This window comes from Homo sapiens, chromosome 15 (assembly GCF_000001405.40).
Source record: "Homo sapiens chromosome 15, GRCh38.p14 Primary Assembly".
Lineage (NCBI taxonomy): Eukaryota > Metazoa > Chordata > Mammalia > Primates > Hominidae > Homo > Homo sapiens.
In genome coordinates this window covers 93017270-93034543 of record NC_000015.10, presented here as the reverse complement: position 1 = coordinate 93034543, position 17274 = coordinate 93017270, and the positions used below count along the sequence as shown (strand labels likewise).

Below are 17274 nucleotides of genomic sequence, written 5' to 3'. Positions count from 1 at the left end.
TTTCTTTAAATTGATTTTAAAAGATGTTCATTAAAATGAAAACATAGGCGGGGCACGTGGCTCACGCCTGTAATCCCAGCACTTTTGGAGGCCAAGGTGGGCAGATCACTTGAGGTCAGGAGTTTGAGACCAGCCTGGCCAACATGGTGAGACCCCATCTCTACTAAAAATACAAAAATTAGCCGGGCGTGGTGGCGCATGCCTGTAATCCCAGCTACTCAGGAGGCTGAGGCAGGACAATCACTTGAACCTGTGAGGCAGAGGTCGTAGTGAGTCAAGATCGTGCCACTGCACTCCAGCCTGGGAGACAGGAGTGAAACCCTGTCTCAAAAATTAGTAATAAATGAAATGAAAACAAAATGGTTTAAATTCTTCCAGAGACCTCTAAGAACCATCCTCCCCACCATATATCTGTAGTCCCACGTTTGGGAAGTACTAAATCAGTATAACTGGGTAGGGATTCTTTTATCTGATTAGTATTTGCTTCCACTGTCAGAGCAGGGCTGAGAAAGTGAAGGAGACAACAAGCACTCCAGGATTGGGGCAGAGCGATGTGGGATGGGGTCCAAAGAAGGTGAAGATGCCCTGTAGTACGGGTCAGCAGGAGCCTAACACAATGTGGAAAGAGGTGGCCCCAGATGAAGCCAGGGGGACCACAGAGGTGTCACTGCCAGCCTGTCCTGGTCCAGGGAGGGCAGGCATATGGGCTCCACCTCCGGCCAGATCACCAAGCATTAGCCAGGCCTTGCTGAGGATGCGTATACCCTGGAGGACCACAGTAATGAGGGTTCGCCCCACATGGTGCTAGCATGTGCCAGGCTCTGTTCTCTCATCAGGAAAATAACACTGTTCTCCCAGGATTACAGGTGCAGACGCTGAGGCCCTGTAAGATTAACCACCCAGGCCCGGTCACAGCAGCCAGGATGCAACCCGATTTGAAGGTGAGCTGTCTCCAGAGCCCATGCTCTCAGCCTGCCTGCAGTGAGGGCCCTGGGTCTCCACGCTGGGCCTTGAGTCCTTCTTGTGCGAGCTACTTGACGCCGCACCGTGCTGCTGCTGCCCAGACCTCCCCACCTCCCCACCTCCCCGCAGTGCAGAGCCTGGGCCTGATCCTAAGCAGCTAGGGCCACGAGCCCATGAGTCCAGCACAGCCATGTAGATGCTAAAATACTAAAATAACACCAGGATATCAGCAAACTCCCCCTATTTACTACTTGCCCCAACCCCCTAAAGCCCCATCACCACTCCAGCTCAGCGGCAGGAAGGTCCCCTGACTCTTCCCACAGTCCAACAGAAAAAGGGATAACATCAAGTCCAGCAAGGAGTCTTAGACAGCCGCTCTAAGCTAGGACCTGTCTCCTGTCTGCTTTAAATATGCCCCCTCGTCTGCGAAGCCTGGGGAGCAGGGACCTGAAGTCTGGCTGAATTCCGAGCCTCCTCAGCCCCCAGAGAAGGTAGCACCCGCTTTGGCTCCTCTGGGCACCCACAAGAGAAGGCTCCAAGCGCAGCAAGTGCCTCCAGGCCACTGTTTAGCCAGGGACCAGGGCACCCAGACACAATAAGGAATGAGCCTAGAGGACCTGGTACTGCGTTCACCCTGGAACAGTTTCCCAGCCCCCTGTGTGTCTGGAACTGGTGGGTTCTTGGTCTACACTAACTTCAAGAAAGAAATCGCGAACCCTCGCAGTGAGTGTTACAGCTCTTAAGGTGGCGCCTCTGCAGTTTGTACCTTCTGATGTTCAGATGTGTCCGGAGTTTCTTCCTTCTGGTGGGTTCGTGGTCTCGCTGGCTCAGGAGTGAAGCTGCAGACCTTCACGATGATTCCTACAGCGCTCAAGAGAACCCGAGTGGGTTGCCAATGCCGGCTGGGGCAGCCTGCTTTTATTCTCTTATCTGGCCCCACCTACATCCTGCTGATTGGTAGAGCCGAGTGGCCTGTTTTGTCAGGGCGCTGATTGGTGCGTTTACAATCCCTGAGCTAGATACAAAGGTTCTCCACGTCCCCATCAGATTAGTTAGATACAGAGTGTCGACTGGTGCACTCACAAACCTTGAGCTAAACACAGGGTGCTGATTGGCGTATTTACAATCCCTGAGCTAGACATAAAGACTCTCCACATCCCCACCAGAGCAGCTAGATACAGAGTGTCGATTGGTGCACTCACAAACCCTGAGCTAGACACAGGGTGCTGATTGGTGTTTTTACAATCCCTGAGCTAGGTATAAAGACTCTCCACGTCCCCACCAGACTCAGGAGCCCAGCTGGCTTCACCTAGTGGATCCCGCACCGGGGCTGCAGGTGGAGCTGCCTGCCAGTCCCGCGCGGTGCGCTCGCATTCCTCAGCCCTCGGGTGGTCAGTGGGACTGGGCGTCGTGGAGCAGAGGGTGGTGCTCGTCGGGGAGGCTCGGGCCGCACAGGAGCCCATGGAGTGGGTGGGAGGCTCAGGCATGGTGGGCTGCAGGTCCCGAGCCTTGCCCCACGGGAAGGCAGCTAAGGCCCGGCGAGAAATCGAGCGCAGCGCCGGTGGGCCGGCACGGCTGGGGGACCGAGTACACCCTCCGCAGCCACTGGCCTGGGTGCTAAGTCCCTCATTGCCCGGGGCCAGCAGAGCTGGCTGGCTGCTCCGAGTGCGGGGCCCGCCAAGCCCACGCCCACCCGGAACTCCAGCTGGCCTGCAAGTGCCGCACGCAGCCCAGGTTCCCGCTTGCGCCTCTCCCTCCACACCTCCCTGCAAGCTGAGGGAGTGGGCTCCAGCCTTGGCCAGCCCAGAAAGGGGCTCCCACAGTGCAGGGGGTGCTGAAGGGCTCCTCAAATGCCGCCAAAGTGAGAGCCCAGGCAGGGGAGGTGCTGAGAGCAAGCGAGGGCTCTGAGGGCTGCCAGCACGCTGTCACCTCTCACCTGCACCTGTGGAGGCAGGAAGCGGAGCTAGAGAGGAACAGAACCTGGGTTTTCCGAGGGAGCCTCGTTCAGGTGGGGGCGCCAGGGGCTCTGACGGCATCTGTGGGATGCCTGGGGAAGACACCAGCAGGCATGGAGATGGGAACAGCAGAGCCAGAGATGGCCGGAATTGATTCTTGAAGACCACCAGGTGCTCAGCGGGCAGATGGAGGTGATGGAGGAGGAAGAAAGGGACCATGCCCTAGAGGCGGAGCTGGCCTCCTCCACCTGAGGCCGAGAGCAGCTGGGGCTGGTTGCAGTGAGGGGACTCAAGAAGGTTCGAGTGGCCAGCAGGGGCAGGTCACAGAGGGCCCCAGACCCAAACCAGGGCGCTTGGACATTAAGGTGAAGGTCACCGAGAACAGCCGGTGATGCCAGGGGGGCCTTGTGGCTCAGAAGGGTCCCTACAGTTGCCCCTCCCAGGTGGGAGGAAGGAGAGGCTGGACTGCAGAGCAGGACCCCCTGTGCGTCCCCGCACAAGGGCTGGAAGTAGGGATGAAGGAGGCTGGGGACGGGGCAGCCTGTCCCCTCGCGTCCCCTGCTCTTGGAGGGCAGTGAGGCTGCCTCTCCCTGCAGCCTCTGCCCCTCTCTTCCCCGTCCGTCTCCCTTCCTGCGGAAGCCACGTGGCTCCACATCTCCTGGGGTGTGGGGGGCTTTGTTGTGGGCTCCAAGGGGGAGAGACCCACCCGGGCAAGGGAAGAGCCCGGAACCTTCCCTGGGTTGGGTTTAGGTGTTGGGTGCCGGGCAGGCTGTTTGTGGAAATCTGCTGCCCTCTGCAGGATGGTTCTAGAACCACATTCGCTCAGGGGCCCTCAGTCTAGGCTTCAGAGAGTGGGAGCTGATCCCAAACACCGCACAGGCCCCAGTGCCACCCTTTGATCATGACAGCTGCCGAGCCCACCTGACATGCACCTCAGGGACCTCACTTGTCCCTGCCCAGCCTGGTGAGAAGCTGTCAGTATCTATTTGTAGTTAAGGCTTGGAGATAGAGAATGTGCTCCACAACACCAGCTGGTAAGAGACAGAGCCAATGTTCAAATCCAGTCTGTCCAGCCATGCCCGGCACCCACCCGCTGGCCCACGTGCCTTCCTGACCGCCCATCCTCATCGCCAGGGCTTGGCCGTCTGAGTAGGGGTTGAAGTTTGCCCAGATCCAGGATTTTCACGACCCTGTCCCTCTACCTCTGGCTGTTTTCTCCCTGGCACTCATGTGACGTTTGTCCTCTTACTGTTTGCTTCTCTAGGGCCCGCCCCCAACCCCTACCCCAGCTAGAATACCAACTCCAAGGGGCCAGGGCCCTTATCCTCCTGGTTCACTGCGCGGGTCCAGCTCCTGGAGCAGGACCAGCCCACAGGAGGGGCTGGAGACCTGGTTCAAGGAAAACGTCCTCTCCCATAACTGTCTGGTTCCAGCAGTGTCTCCCCCATGAGACTATGAGCTCCTGGGGGTTCTAGTCCCTGCTGGGCCTTCCTGCTGGGGTTTAGTCTCCCCGCACAGCAAGCTGCGGCTTTCCAGAAGCCCTGGCCAATGGGGCTCCAAGAGGGCAGCTCGCTTGTCTTGCAGTCTCTGGAGTGGGAGGTGCTGGGCCCGGTGCTCACCGGGCCTGCCCTCCAGGCCGGGCAAGCTCTGTCCTTAGTCTGCCTCAACCCATCCAGCTGCCCTCTGACTCAACCCTCTCCACCCATTCCCCAGCCAAGGACTTTGAATGCTGTCTCTTCCAGGTCGCCCTTAGGGTTACAAACCTTTTCCTTTTCCACTGTGCACACTCTCACTTAAAAACCGCATGAACCCAAGAAGCGGCCTCCTTCCTTTGCAGGTGAAGATGCAAGGTGATCACCCAGCTGAACATGGGGAGGGACCACATGGGGGCAATGCGCTGACTCGGGAGGCCCCTTTACAGCCCCCCAACGCCCCGAGGGCCACCACAGTGCCTGTGGTTAACGGGGCCCGTGTTTTAGCAACAATTCCTTCTTAGGTCACTAAAGAAATTAAGAGGAAGCTCACGTGTGATGTTCCGGAAGTGGATATTGTTCTGCCCATCTTCGAGGTAAGAAGCCTTTAGGCCATGGACTGGTCCATGTTCCCACACAAAGCCAGACAGCAGGAGGCTCAGCGCAAAACCAGGTGGCCTGAGCACACTGTCATCCACCACATCACACGCCAGCAGAACTGACCAGAACACCCCCAAGACGTCAAGCCTGGGGGAGGGGCCCACCGGCAGCAGCGGGAACAGCTCCTCAATTAGTGCCCAGGTTTCTGCAGGATGGAACTTTCACTGAATCCAGCTGCACCTTCTCCTCCCCACCCGCTCACTGATCAGAACAGATTTGAGGTGGGCTGGGAGACCAAATGGGTCCCATGAGATATGACAGAAAGGACTGGTGCAGGGGGCTTCAGTTAAGGCAACGCCTCACATCAGAGCTGGTCCTGCGCCTTTAAAAGCCACAGGTTGGAATCTGGAGCCGACTCTGGTCTGGCAAACTGCAGGGACTTGGGTTTCAATAAGTGACCTTTCTGTTGGCGCTGACTGAGGAGGGCTTGCCGTGATGCCAGGCGTGCGAGGCCCTGCCAGGGAGGAGGGAGGAGGCAGGGGCCCTGGGCCGGCCGCTTCCAGTAAAAGGCAGGCGTTTTGGCAGCTGGCAGTTTCGAAGCCTTGTTGCTATTGTAAGTCATAATAAGCTGATTATTGCAGTACTTGTTCTTAAAGTTTCCCCAAATTGTTCCAGCTGAGTCATGAGTTACAACACGATTGTGAGTCGTTTCTTGATGGGCACCAAGAGCCCTCAGCTTTTCTTCGTCTTTCTCAAGAACTACGTGAACTAAAAATCCCAGCCTCCCGCTCCAGCGCGGGCCAGGGCTGGCAAGGGCCCCTGCGTCCAAGTCCCCTGGGCTGACGGAGCGGAGTCACAGCAGTTGACAGCTCAGCTCTCAGTAGACACATGGCTTATTTGGTATCAAGATTTAAGAGCTAGTCTCAAAGTCACCAAAACATTAGTGAAAATCGTGGATCTGGGCAAACTTCAACCCTTATTCAGACAGAGATCTCCGCCCGCAGGCTGTGCCACCCTTCCTCTGTCTGGGCTGCACCAGAGCTGGGCCTGCCCCTGTGCCAGAATACTAAAGCTAACGTTTGTGTCAGTGTTTCCATTATAAAATGCCACCCCCCAGACCCCATCTGTTAAATTACCCTCAAAGCTACAGGCTGGCAGACACAGTGTTATTTCCTTCAGGATAGAAGGGGTGGCCCCCCTAGGTCTCCCTGGATCCCCCCAGGCAGGACTAACCCACGGGAATTAACTACCGGTTTCGGCAACCCTGGCCCTCCCTCAAGTGCAGAGCTGTGGGCCACAGCCTGGAGTTGCTCGGCCAGGGAGCTGTTCACCTCGACGACGGCATACTCAGGAACAGCTTAGGTATCTGTGGTGTTAAGGCCGGTACGCAACAATGCAACTGGTACTGGATGGAGGGAAATGCAACTTTAAAAGACTCCACTTCACAAGCTGTCAAAACATCTGGATGTGACCCAGCAACCAACGAGGGAAGGTAGACAAGGCGGTATCTCTAGTCACAGAGCTCACACCACAATGCAATGCAACGTGTTAGCCCAATTCTAAAAATGCTCAGTAACACTTTTTAATATACAAGAATCAAAAGTACAGCAGTTTTACAATGTAGGAAAATTTAATACATACTATATAAACAACATTATTTACATCAGAAATCACTAGGACAGTGGCATTTTTCACAAATATAAATTAATTACTGTTTAGTCAACAGGTTTTAAAAGTCCACAATTTTACAATAAAGAAAAACCATCTGTCCCCAGATGAGTGGGGCACAGATGGCCTAAAGCAGCCTGGACCCTTGGCATGGCTCCCCTCGCCCAACGTGGCAGCCCTCAGAGGAGCCGGAAGACCGCTGGTGCTGGGCCTGGGCTGCTGCTCCTGCTGACAAGTGGATTTTGGTCTGTAGGATTTCAGTGTCATTGTGTGACTTCCTAAATCAACTGTGTTTGCACCGTGAGGACTGATGCAACTTTCAGACACACCAGGCCAGAATGTCTGCAGCACAGCGTGCAAAGTGTTTGGGCTTCCCTTCGAAGGGCTGAGGAATGACTGAAAGGAGAGTGAGCCCCGGGCTCTGCTGGCACCTGTCTGTCCGGCTCTGAAAGACCGCAGTGATTAGCTTGGGGTTTCACCTGGCCCTTTTCTAAGGCCATAGTGTATCATGTCAACCCTTGTTCACGTGCAGGTTTTAGGTGATGCTAACTCCCTCTTTCTCAACCTGTTATTTCTACCAACAATGAAATCTTTCAAAGCCAGACTCCAGGGAATACCATCCTCACAGATTCCTGGGGCAGCTTCTCCCATTCACAAGTGAGAGAATTTACCTGTGCAAATTTTTTATTTAGGCATATAATATTCATACTGATTTAAATCAATGAAGAAATGCTTCCTTTTTCCCAGCACACTCTTCAAACATACTCCAGCACCTAAAATAGTTGTCTAATGGGGACACTGTAATTTTAGAATCAATGTAACACTGATCTGGCCGATACTGCCTTTTGCTACTTCATATGGCACTGAGAGTCCTAAATGTGAACAAAAGGAAGTTTCTTTTTCCTCACGATAAGACATCTCTGGGCATAACTCACATCTCCTATCAGCAACTCAAGAGAGAAGCCCTGATGACTGTGGAAACCCTGATGGAAATGCAGGACCTCTGGTGACTCCTTTGCCCCTCCTTTCATTCCTGAAGGACACTACCCAACTCTCTGCAGGGGCTCACCTCCTTCCCACCCCATCTCCCAACGCTCAAGGGCTCGACAAGCCAACCTAACCTTCCTCTTTGGCTTGGGCAAGGCAATCATGGGCTAGAGTCAGTATTATCGGCAAGAAGCTCCATCTGTGGTTTCCTCATCACTGTGTGGCCTAAGTGGAGACACAGGCCCTGCCCTCTCCACTGAGCGTCACGGCAGGCCCTCCATGGGAGGACTGTGGCCAGGTGGCTCATGCAGTCACCGGAGCTTTGCTTCAGGACATGTGTGCTACAAGTCCAGGCTGGACAACCCCAAGAACTGTGAGGGTTCAGCAAGCGGGGTGGGTCCACTGAGCTCTCAACACAAGCTTCCGGGACCCAGACCCTCATCTGGAAACCACACAGGCCAGCCCTGCGATGCTCTGTGTAGCAGGGAGCAAGGGTCACACCACAGCCACATCTGCTTCATTCGGGGGATCCAACTTGGCATGTCTTGGTAAAGGCATTCATGGTGCTGCCCAGGACACCAGCAAGCACTGAAGTCCTCACAAGTTACTTCAGGAGTTTAACCCTGCACACGCCCAACAGAAGGGTTTTCACCAGCTCTGAGCCTGGACACTTACAGGCACACTGTATGTTCAAGTCAGTTATTCTGTCTCCATCTAGAAAGGCCTTTGGATACTCTTAACAATACTGGCAATCTATACTGAGAATAAAACTGAAGGCCCCAGCATCAGTCAATTGAAAAGAGCCTGCTTAATTGATGCAACCAAACTTGCTTCCTAAACCTGACTCAGTTCAACTCTCGTATGATTTTTACTATCTATAGCTCAAGTCACTGTGTCTTTGGATGCTCCTTGTTTGGGAAAAAGTTTAACTTAGGTTTATACCTGATTATATTCTAAGAGAAACTGAATTCAATTCTAATGATCTCCAACTACAGTAGAAACTTGTTCACCACAGGTACTTATTTCCATCTGCCCACCACATGATGTGTGATTCTGTCTACTCTATTTCTTCAAGCTGTGCAAAGGGAAGGAAATGCAGCAGGAAGTGTTGACCTAGCGCAATACTGAAAGTTTCCCCCACTTGCTGGCACTACTGAACCCCACATTAGAAGCCTGTTCACTGCCTGCACCAGGACCCCCACCTTTGTGATTGCAACAAGTTGGTCAGCAGGCCTGCCTCTGCATCCCCTTCTCCAGGTCCTGTAGCTTTCCTTCTCACCACAGGAATCAGAAATCCACCAGGGATTCCAGTTCCCTGGCCACACTACTCCCCACCTACCCCACCCTACCCCTCACTCAGCCTACTCCCCAGTCAAGTAAGACCCATGCTGGCATCAGTGTTGCCTCACTCACAGTACTCAGTCAGCCAGAGAAACCTACCTTCCCTGGCACAGTGGGAAAAGGAGGCCCACTCAGGAGACCAAAGCTCTGAAATGTACAAAGACAGTGTGGGAAAAATTAGTGTTGGCAGAGATGAAGCAGTTGTGGAAGCTGTTGCCCTCTCTCTACTTCTCCACCCCAACCCCACCCACAGGTTTCACATAATGAGGCCGAGTGTATCACTTCTCCCAAGAACACATTTGAGGGGTGTACCTGCTCCCCTTCAAGTCCTATGCTTGTCCCCACCCGCTTGCCCCAACTCGCCACTCCCCATCAGCAGCATCCATCATGTCAGAGTGAACCAAATCAACCAAATCACACACTGTTCACCAGGTCCCAGCAGCCTCCATGCACCAGTTCCTGCCCCGACCATGCACTAAGGTCCTGGGAACACTGACCCTGGCAAGAAAACATTCATGACTCTGAAGATCCCCTGTTCCTTGACTGGGGAAACACATCCCAGTGAAGCTGGTACACACACAGTCAGCTCCTCCTCCAAGTGCCCGTCAAAGTGGGAGGCCAGAACTAGGCTGGAATGGGATGGGGTGCCAAAGTGCAGGAGTGGTGACCCGAATCAGAGCTGGACCCAGTGAAAGGCCTCCCATTCCTTGAAGTGCTCCTTCAGCCAGTGAGTTGACAGCAGCAGCATGTCCAAAACTCCACTTACTGGTCTAGATAACCGGCTACTGTAGGATCAGACCAAAAATATCCACGTGTTTGGTGACTCTTACTCTCTCCTTTACGAGCTGTCCTTTATGTTTTCCGAACATTCCAGTTATAATCTGGGTTGTTTTTCTGTTCTAGTGATCTCTCCAAAGGAGACCTATGATCCAGGGGTGACTTGGAATCGTGAGGAGATTTCTGAGAAGGGGGTGAGCGAGGATCTGAGACTGCAGGGTGCAATGGGGGTAGAGGCTGTTTATATTCCCCCAGTTTATCTGTGTGGAAAGAGCGGTAATGGTCTGAGGGTCCCTGGCCATGGTAGCCCATAGCGGGGCGGTGATCAGACATTCGTCGGAAATCCTGCTGGTGGTAATTTTGAGGCCTAAATTCATCGGATCTCCTCCGCTTGGAGTCATGATGGTGCCTGAAATAGAGATGCAAGGATTAGTCGAAAGACTGAAGCCAGATTCCCATCCACTTCTCTTCACTACCCACTTGGCTCTTCCTCATATACTCATATTCAAGGACAAATGCTCACATTATTAGGAATCAAAAAAATTAATAACAGAGTCATTTTACACTTATTAGCAAAATACATCCTATGAAATAAGGCTCAAGTGTGCAGTGACACAAGTACACACTTGAAAAATTACTGATGGCTTTTGCAAACTCACTCCCTTTAGGAAAAATCTGGTAAGATCCATAAACATTACCATATTCCTGGACCCAGCCCATGAGAAAAAGAGCCACAGAAATTATTTTGTAAGTTATTAATAACACCATCAACCTAAATATGCAACAAGTGAGTGACTAGTTAATAAAATTATCTTAAAAACCAACTCAGTGTGAAGAGTATTAAAATTTTTAGCTTGGACCATGGTAAACTGCTCATGATACCATTAAAAAAAGAATTACTAAAACTCAACAACAAAAACAACCCAACTCAAAAACAGGCAAAGGATTTGAACAGACATTTCTCCAAAGAAGCTATACAAATGGCCAAAAAAAACCATGAGAAGATGCTCCATGTCATTAATCACTAGGGAAATGCATGTTCAAGCCACAATGAGACTACTTCACACCCACGAAGATGGAGATACTCATTAAAAAAAAACACAAAAAAAAAACCCAGGAAATAAGTGTTGGCAAAGATAAGGAAAACCTTCAACTCTTACACATTGCTGGTAGGAATGTAAAATGGTTCAGCCATCGTAGAAACATTTTGGTGTTTCCTAAAAACGTAAAGAATATGACTAATAATTCCACTCCCAGGCACATATCCAAAACTGAAAACAGGTAGTCAAGTACCTGTACACCAATCTTCACTGCAGCATTATTCACAACAGCCCAAAGATGGAAACAACTCAAATGTCCATCAACAGATGAATGGATAAACAAAATGTGGTATATATCCACACAACGAAATATTATTCAGCCATAAGGATGGAATGAGTACTGATGAATGAACCTTGAAAACATTATGCTAAGTGAAAGAAGCCAGACACAAAAGGTCACATATTGTATGACTCTTTCTATATGAAATGTCTAGAACAGGCAAATCCAGAGAGACAGAATGCAAACTGGTGGCTGCCAGAGGCTGGGGAGAGGGAATAATGGGGAAGGATTATTTAATGGTTATAGGGTTTTCTCTGACTGATGAAAGTGTTTTGGAACTAGATAGAAGTGGTGGCTGCCCAATATTATAAATGCACTAAGGTCATTCAGTTGTTCGCTTTAAAATAGTTCCTTTATGTAATATGAATTTCACCTCAATGAAAGAAAGAGGGAGGAAGAAGTGAGCAATCTCAAGTTCCAGTCAAAATGGAATAACAGGGACTAGATTTACCATCCTGCCTGAAACAGCCAAAAGGGACAAAATGCATAGAACAGTGGTTTTCAAGACACCAGACATCAGGCAATGAAGAACAGTGATCCCTGAGGAATGGACACTAATGAAATGAGCCTTTTAACGGCTCCTGTTCACTATCATGAGATAGTCCCTCAGGCTGTGACACAGGAAGAAGGAAACCCAGAAAGACACCAGTTGGCTTCCCAAGGTGAGGGATGGGGAACCAAGGTGGCCAGAGTTCACAGGGCATGGCATGAGAGAAGACAGTGCTGCAGAGAAAGAAGTTTGAAGATCTACAGAGGGTTCCCAGGTATACAGCTGAATACTGCTTAGGATGTGCATGTGGGGAAACTACCCAAGGCCAGGGAAAGGACCACCCGAAAAGACTGAAGGTAACAGTGCCCTGTGCTCACAAAGAACTGGCATCGTGCCTGTTCTCACCAGCCACACCAAAGACCTCCAGATGGTGATACGGTTTGGGTATGTGTCCCCTCCAAATCTCATGTTGAAATGTGACCTCCAATGTTGTAGTGGGAGGTGTTTGGGCAGATCCCTCATAAATGGCTTGGTGCTGTCCTTGTGATAATGAGTGAGTTCTCTGAGTTCACGTGAGAGCTGGTGCTTTAAAAGAGGCTGGCACCTCCTCCTCTCTCTCTTGCTCCCTCTCTTGCCATGGGACGCCTACTGCCACTTCACCTTCCACCATGAGTAAAAGCTCCCTGAGGCCTCTCCAGAAGCCAACCAGATGCTGGTGCTATGCTTGTACAGCCTGCGGAACTGTGCGCCAAATAAAACTCTTTTCTCTATAAATTACCCAGCCTCAGGTATTCCTGCAAAACAGACTAACGCAATTGGGTAGAGTGCAATGAGGCTCTTTACCTTGGGGGTGGGCAATCATTAGCCCTTGACTGAGCACTGCTCTGGTTCTACCTAACGAATCTTAACAGCAAGACCTGAAAAAGGAAACTGCTTCCAAATAACCTGCAACTCATAACAAAGCTCCAGAATACTTACAGGAATACAGAAATATCCAGCACCCAACAAGGTAAATGTTACATCTGGCATCTGACAAAAATTACTAGGCACAGAAAGCACCAGGGGAGCAAGACCCACAGTGAGGAGGTATCAACTGAAACTGACCCAAGTGATAAGATTCGCAGACAAGGACATCAAAACCATTGTTATATCTGTGTTCCAGGTTTTAAAAGGTTAGACACAGAACATATATAAAAAGACCCAAAAACAACTTTCCGAACTTTTAGAACTACAATGTATAAAATGCAAAGTACACTGGATGGGCCTCACAGCAGTCTTGACATTGAAAAGGAAAGTATTAGTGAACTTGAAGAGGTAGCAATAGAAACTATCCACAGTGAAACAGAAAGCATAATTTTTTAAAAGTCAACAGAATACAAGTGAGCTGTGAGACAACTTCAAGCAAGCTAATATAGGTGTAATGAGAATCTCCAAAGAAGAAGAGAGAGTGGGGGATCAGAAAAAATATTTGAAGAAGATTGTAAAAATTTCCAAATTTTATGGAAACAATAAACCCACAGATCCAAGAAGTTCAAAAATTTCCAAGCACAAGAAACCAAGGAAAAATACACCAAGGCACATCATAATCAGTGATTTTTTTTAAAAGGAACATTATGTAAAGAGGAACAAAGATAAGGATGACAGATTTTTCATCACAAAACAATGCAAGTAAATAGCAGAGGTACATCTTTAAAGCACTGAAAGAAACTGTAAAGCCAAAAATGTATACACTCAGCAAAAACTACTTTCAAAAATGAAGGCAAAATACTTTTTCAGGCATATATACAAACACTGAAAGAGTTTATCACCAGCAGAAAAAGTCCTTCAGGCAAAAGGAAAGTGACATCAAATAGAAATACAGACCTACTAGAAGAACGCAGGGCAAGATGCCCACTGGGTCCAGACAATAGAGAAGGGTGGGAGCGAGGGGCAGTCTCCCAACGAGGTGGCAGCTACTCAGCTACAGCTCTCTGCTAATGCGGGCTGCTGTTACCAGATCTTCCAAAAACAAAGCACGACTTTGACACGTTTATATGAAATTTTCCCACTGTAAATTCAAGGTACAGTGCAAATGACGCACATCATCAGCCCAGGGAAAACCAAAGCTGCTATGAGGTTAAATTATCCAAGATTTGAAATTAGGAAATACAGATAAAACCTCTTTAGCTCTCCCTGGACTTGCTACTCTCACAATGTAAAGCTTCGGCTCATCGTACTACTGGTGGCATTGTACTGAAGTAAAGAGGGTGCAGCTTCAGAAGACTTTGACTCTTCAATTATGGGCTCGTGGCAGGTAAGGACTGTGGGCTGGTACCCATCTCGGGATCCCTGATACCTAGTGTGGCTGACAGCCTCGCACAGAGCTTAATAATTTTGGTTGTTGACTCTAATATTTTATGGCGACCTCTTCACTAGATTTCCTCAAAAGACGGCAGAAAACTCTTTTCCTGCACAGGTGAAATGTGCTCCCTATGACCCACAAAACAAAACATAAAACCTATAACCAAGACATGGGATTCGCTGTGGCTGACACATGCATGATGAGATCTTCAGTAATTTGATAGATAAATACATTCATGTATACGTCACTTTCTCCCTAGAAACAGCTCCTGGCAAAGGTTGGCACCTGGTGTCTCACAGCCTTTTGCATACCTGTCATAATAATCTCTGTGTCCCCGGTGGTCTCGGTCACTGCTGTACTGGTCATAAGGCCTCTTTCTGGACATGTTGTTGGGTCGATAGCTTCCGGAACGGTGGGCATCCATATGTCGCCGGTCCCCATAATGGTGGTCCTTGTACCAGTGCTGCTCATACTGATGGTGCCTGTCGCTTCCCCATGGTGGATTGTTGTTGCCACCACCATAGTTGAACTTTCTTTCCCTCTGCCAGTCTCCTCGATCTGCAGGAAAAGAAAGAATGATCTGATGACTGCAAGAAATGGATGAATTTCACTTTCACTACAATTTTTTTTTTTTTGGAGATGGAGTCGTGCTCTGTTTGCCCAGGCTGGAGTGCAGTGGCACGATCTTAGATCACTGCAATCTCCATCTCTTGGGTCAAGCGATTCTCGTGCCTCAGCCTCCCAAGTAGATGGGACTACAGGCACCCGCCACCATGCCTGCCCAATTTTTGAATTTTTAGTAGAGACAGGGTTTCACCATGTTGGCTAGGCTGGTCTCAAACTCCTGACCTCAGGTGATCCGCCCGCCTCAGCTTCCCAAGGTGCTGGGATTACAGCTGTGAGCCACCACGCCCAGCCTTATTTTTTATTTTTGTTTTCTTCCACACCAATCTTCTCTGTATTGTTCCAATTCTTGTAGGTATGCTGCTGAAGTAAGCACTACTTTGCTGAAGTTCAAACTGAAAGCCTGACACATGTTACAAACAGACATTAAATTTCTTTCTTCTTGGTCTTGTTGCTGCTGGCTAACGTATCAGTAATGACTCCTAAACATTCTTTCCAACAAAATTTTAAGGCAAAATTTACTACTCCTCTCCTTCTGAAATCTTAACAACTACCGCTTTTCACTCTCCATACCTGTTTAACCTTCCAATCTGTGGCAGACTCTTAACAACAAAACCAAACTAATTCAGAAAATGATACCGCTGAGTTTCACAGCTGCGAGTAATATCCTCCGGTTACACATCTAACGTTTATTTCACCTGCTGGTACCTGCTGTGCCTGGTCTCTGAAAATCTCTCCAGACTACACTCACCGATTCTATTATTCTTCCCTATTCTGCACACACACACAAAAATGGACCTCCTCCTATAAAAAAGTAATTTCTCTAACTTTGAGCTTGGATCAGTGCTCTGTCTCTTACGGATTAAGGCCAAACTACAATCCTTTTAACTTCTGTAGCCTTCCTTTTCTCCTAAGGAAAAGAATCATACTCACTTGAATCAGAAAATGTAGTGAAGACACAGAAGTCCAGGGATGGAGAGTTAAACTGTGGCTACCAAAATGTCATGTCCACCCAGAGCCTGTGAGTGTGATTTTACCTAGGTCTTTGCAGATGTAATTAAGTTAAAAATCTCTAGATGACATCATCCTGAATTTAGGTTGGGCTACAAATTCCAGGACAGGCATCCTTTCAAAATAAAGGCAGAGGGAGCTATGACAGGCTATGCATAGGAGAAGGCTATGCAAAGATGGAGGCAGAAATCGGCGTGAGTCAAGAACGCCAAGAACTGCTGGCAGCCACCAGAAGGCAGAAGAGAGGCATGGAACAGCTTTTCCCTCGGAGCCTCCAGAAGGAACCAACCCTGCTGACACCTTGATATCAGACTTCCTGGTCTCCAGAAATGTGAGAAAATAAATGTTTGATGTTTGAAGCCACCTAGTCTGTGATACTTTGTTATATACAGCCCTAGGAAACTAATACAGAGGACTAACCAAAAGGAACCTATGACCTCATGGAAAAATCCATCTTCTGTCTATAATTATGTGAAGATCAAAGACATGCCACCAAATAAGTGTCTCTACTCATTTTACTGGCCTTCCAGCTTTTTTCTACAGAGCTGAAGAACAACACCATTAAGGAAGTGCTGAGCTCAGAAACTGATAGCATTAATATGATGTACAGTCCACCAGTGGCTTAAATTCATGGCTGACCTGGGTAGATCAGATGAGAGCACCACAAAGTAAAAAACTTTTGACTATTCACCCTAAGAATTAACAAATAACAACAAAAAGAGACACCTTCTAAATATGCGAAGGATCACTTGAGGATGGCTTCATATCAAATGGAAAGTGAGATTTCTAACAGGGTGTCAATGTCTGTGGTTTTGTAGAGGTGCTTAAAACTCAAGCTAGTTCATTTTTTCTGGAGTAAATCAAAGAGATTTTCTTTCTTCTTAAACCCTCTGTGAGGTAAATCACAGGTTACAAAGTATTGAGCTATTAAAAAGATGGGTGAGGAATCCAAGGTTTAAATAAAAGAATGTATTTAGTAAGAAGTTATTGTAAAGGATTCAGAATATAAAATAAGTGACATCGTATACAAAACACAAAAACAGCCTAATACTAGAAAAAAGCCAGTATAACTGATGCAACTACATCTAAGAACAGGGAAACATTTCCCAATCATTCTGCAAAATCATTAGCTTTCTTTCCCTCAACAAAATGGTGATGAAATAATTTTGAACTCAGATTTTTAAGATTACAGAACATAGAACGTAATGCTTCCAGGCAGGGTAGCTTGTAGCAGAATTACATCCTGCCAAAAACAATGAGAAAGGGAAGATTAAAAAGAATGCGTTTAGGCCAGGCGCAGTGGCTCACGCCTGTTATCCCAACACTTTGGGAGGCTGAGGCGAATGGATCACCTGAGGTCAGGAGTTCAAGACCACCTTGGCCAACATGGTGAGACCCTGTCTGTACAAAAATACAAAAAAAAAAAAAAAAAAAAAAAAAAATTAGCCCGGCATGGTGGTGTGTGCCTGTAATCCCAGCTACTTGGGAGGTTGAGGCAGGAGAATCGCTTGAACCCGGGAGGTGGAGGTTGCAGTGAGCCAAGATCGTGCCGCCGCTACACTCCAGCCTGGGTGACAGAGCGAGGCTCCATCTCCCAAAAAAAGAAAGAAGTGTTTAAAGGCATCAAAGAGCAGCTAAAGCAATGAGGACTAGAAGGACTAAGAT

The 17274-nt window shown here is 49.0% G+C and overlaps 1 protein-coding gene across 1 annotated transcript in view, besides 2 other annotated features; it reads right to left on the bottom strand.

Moving 5' to 3' along the window:
- Window positions 2049–2553: an enhancer, noted in NCBI's record as "H3K27ac-H3K4me1 hESC enhancer chr15:93575221-93575725 (GRCh37/hg19 assembly coordinates)". NCBI's record gives its function as "activates a minimal SCP1, AML or CMV promoter by ChIP-STARR-seq in primed H9 embryonic stem cells {active_cell/tissue: H9 hESC(primed)}" and the evidence as "EXISTENCE:reporter gene assay evidence [ECO:0000049][PMID:30033119]".
- Window positions 5592–6098: an enhancer, noted in NCBI's record as "H3K4me1 hESC enhancer chr15:93571676-93572182 (GRCh37/hg19 assembly coordinates)". NCBI's record gives its function as "activates a minimal SCP1, AML or CMV promoter by ChIP-STARR-seq in primed H9 embryonic stem cells {active_cell/tissue: H9 hESC(primed)}" and the evidence as "EXISTENCE:reporter gene assay evidence [ECO:0000049][PMID:30033119]".
- CHD2 (chromodomain helicase DNA binding protein 2) overlaps window positions 6548–17274 on the bottom strand; it is a 127673-nt gene continuing 116946 nt past the window's right edge. Inside the window, exons 38-39 of the mRNA NM_001271.4 lie at window positions 14286–14532; window positions 6548–10172 (exon numbers count right to left, since the gene is read on the bottom strand). Coding sequence (NP_001262.3) covers window positions 9839–10172; window positions 14286–14532 — 581 coding nt within the window. The 3' untranslated portion in view covers window positions 6548–9838. The remainder of the gene's footprint in view (window positions 10173–14285; window positions 14533–17274) is intronic.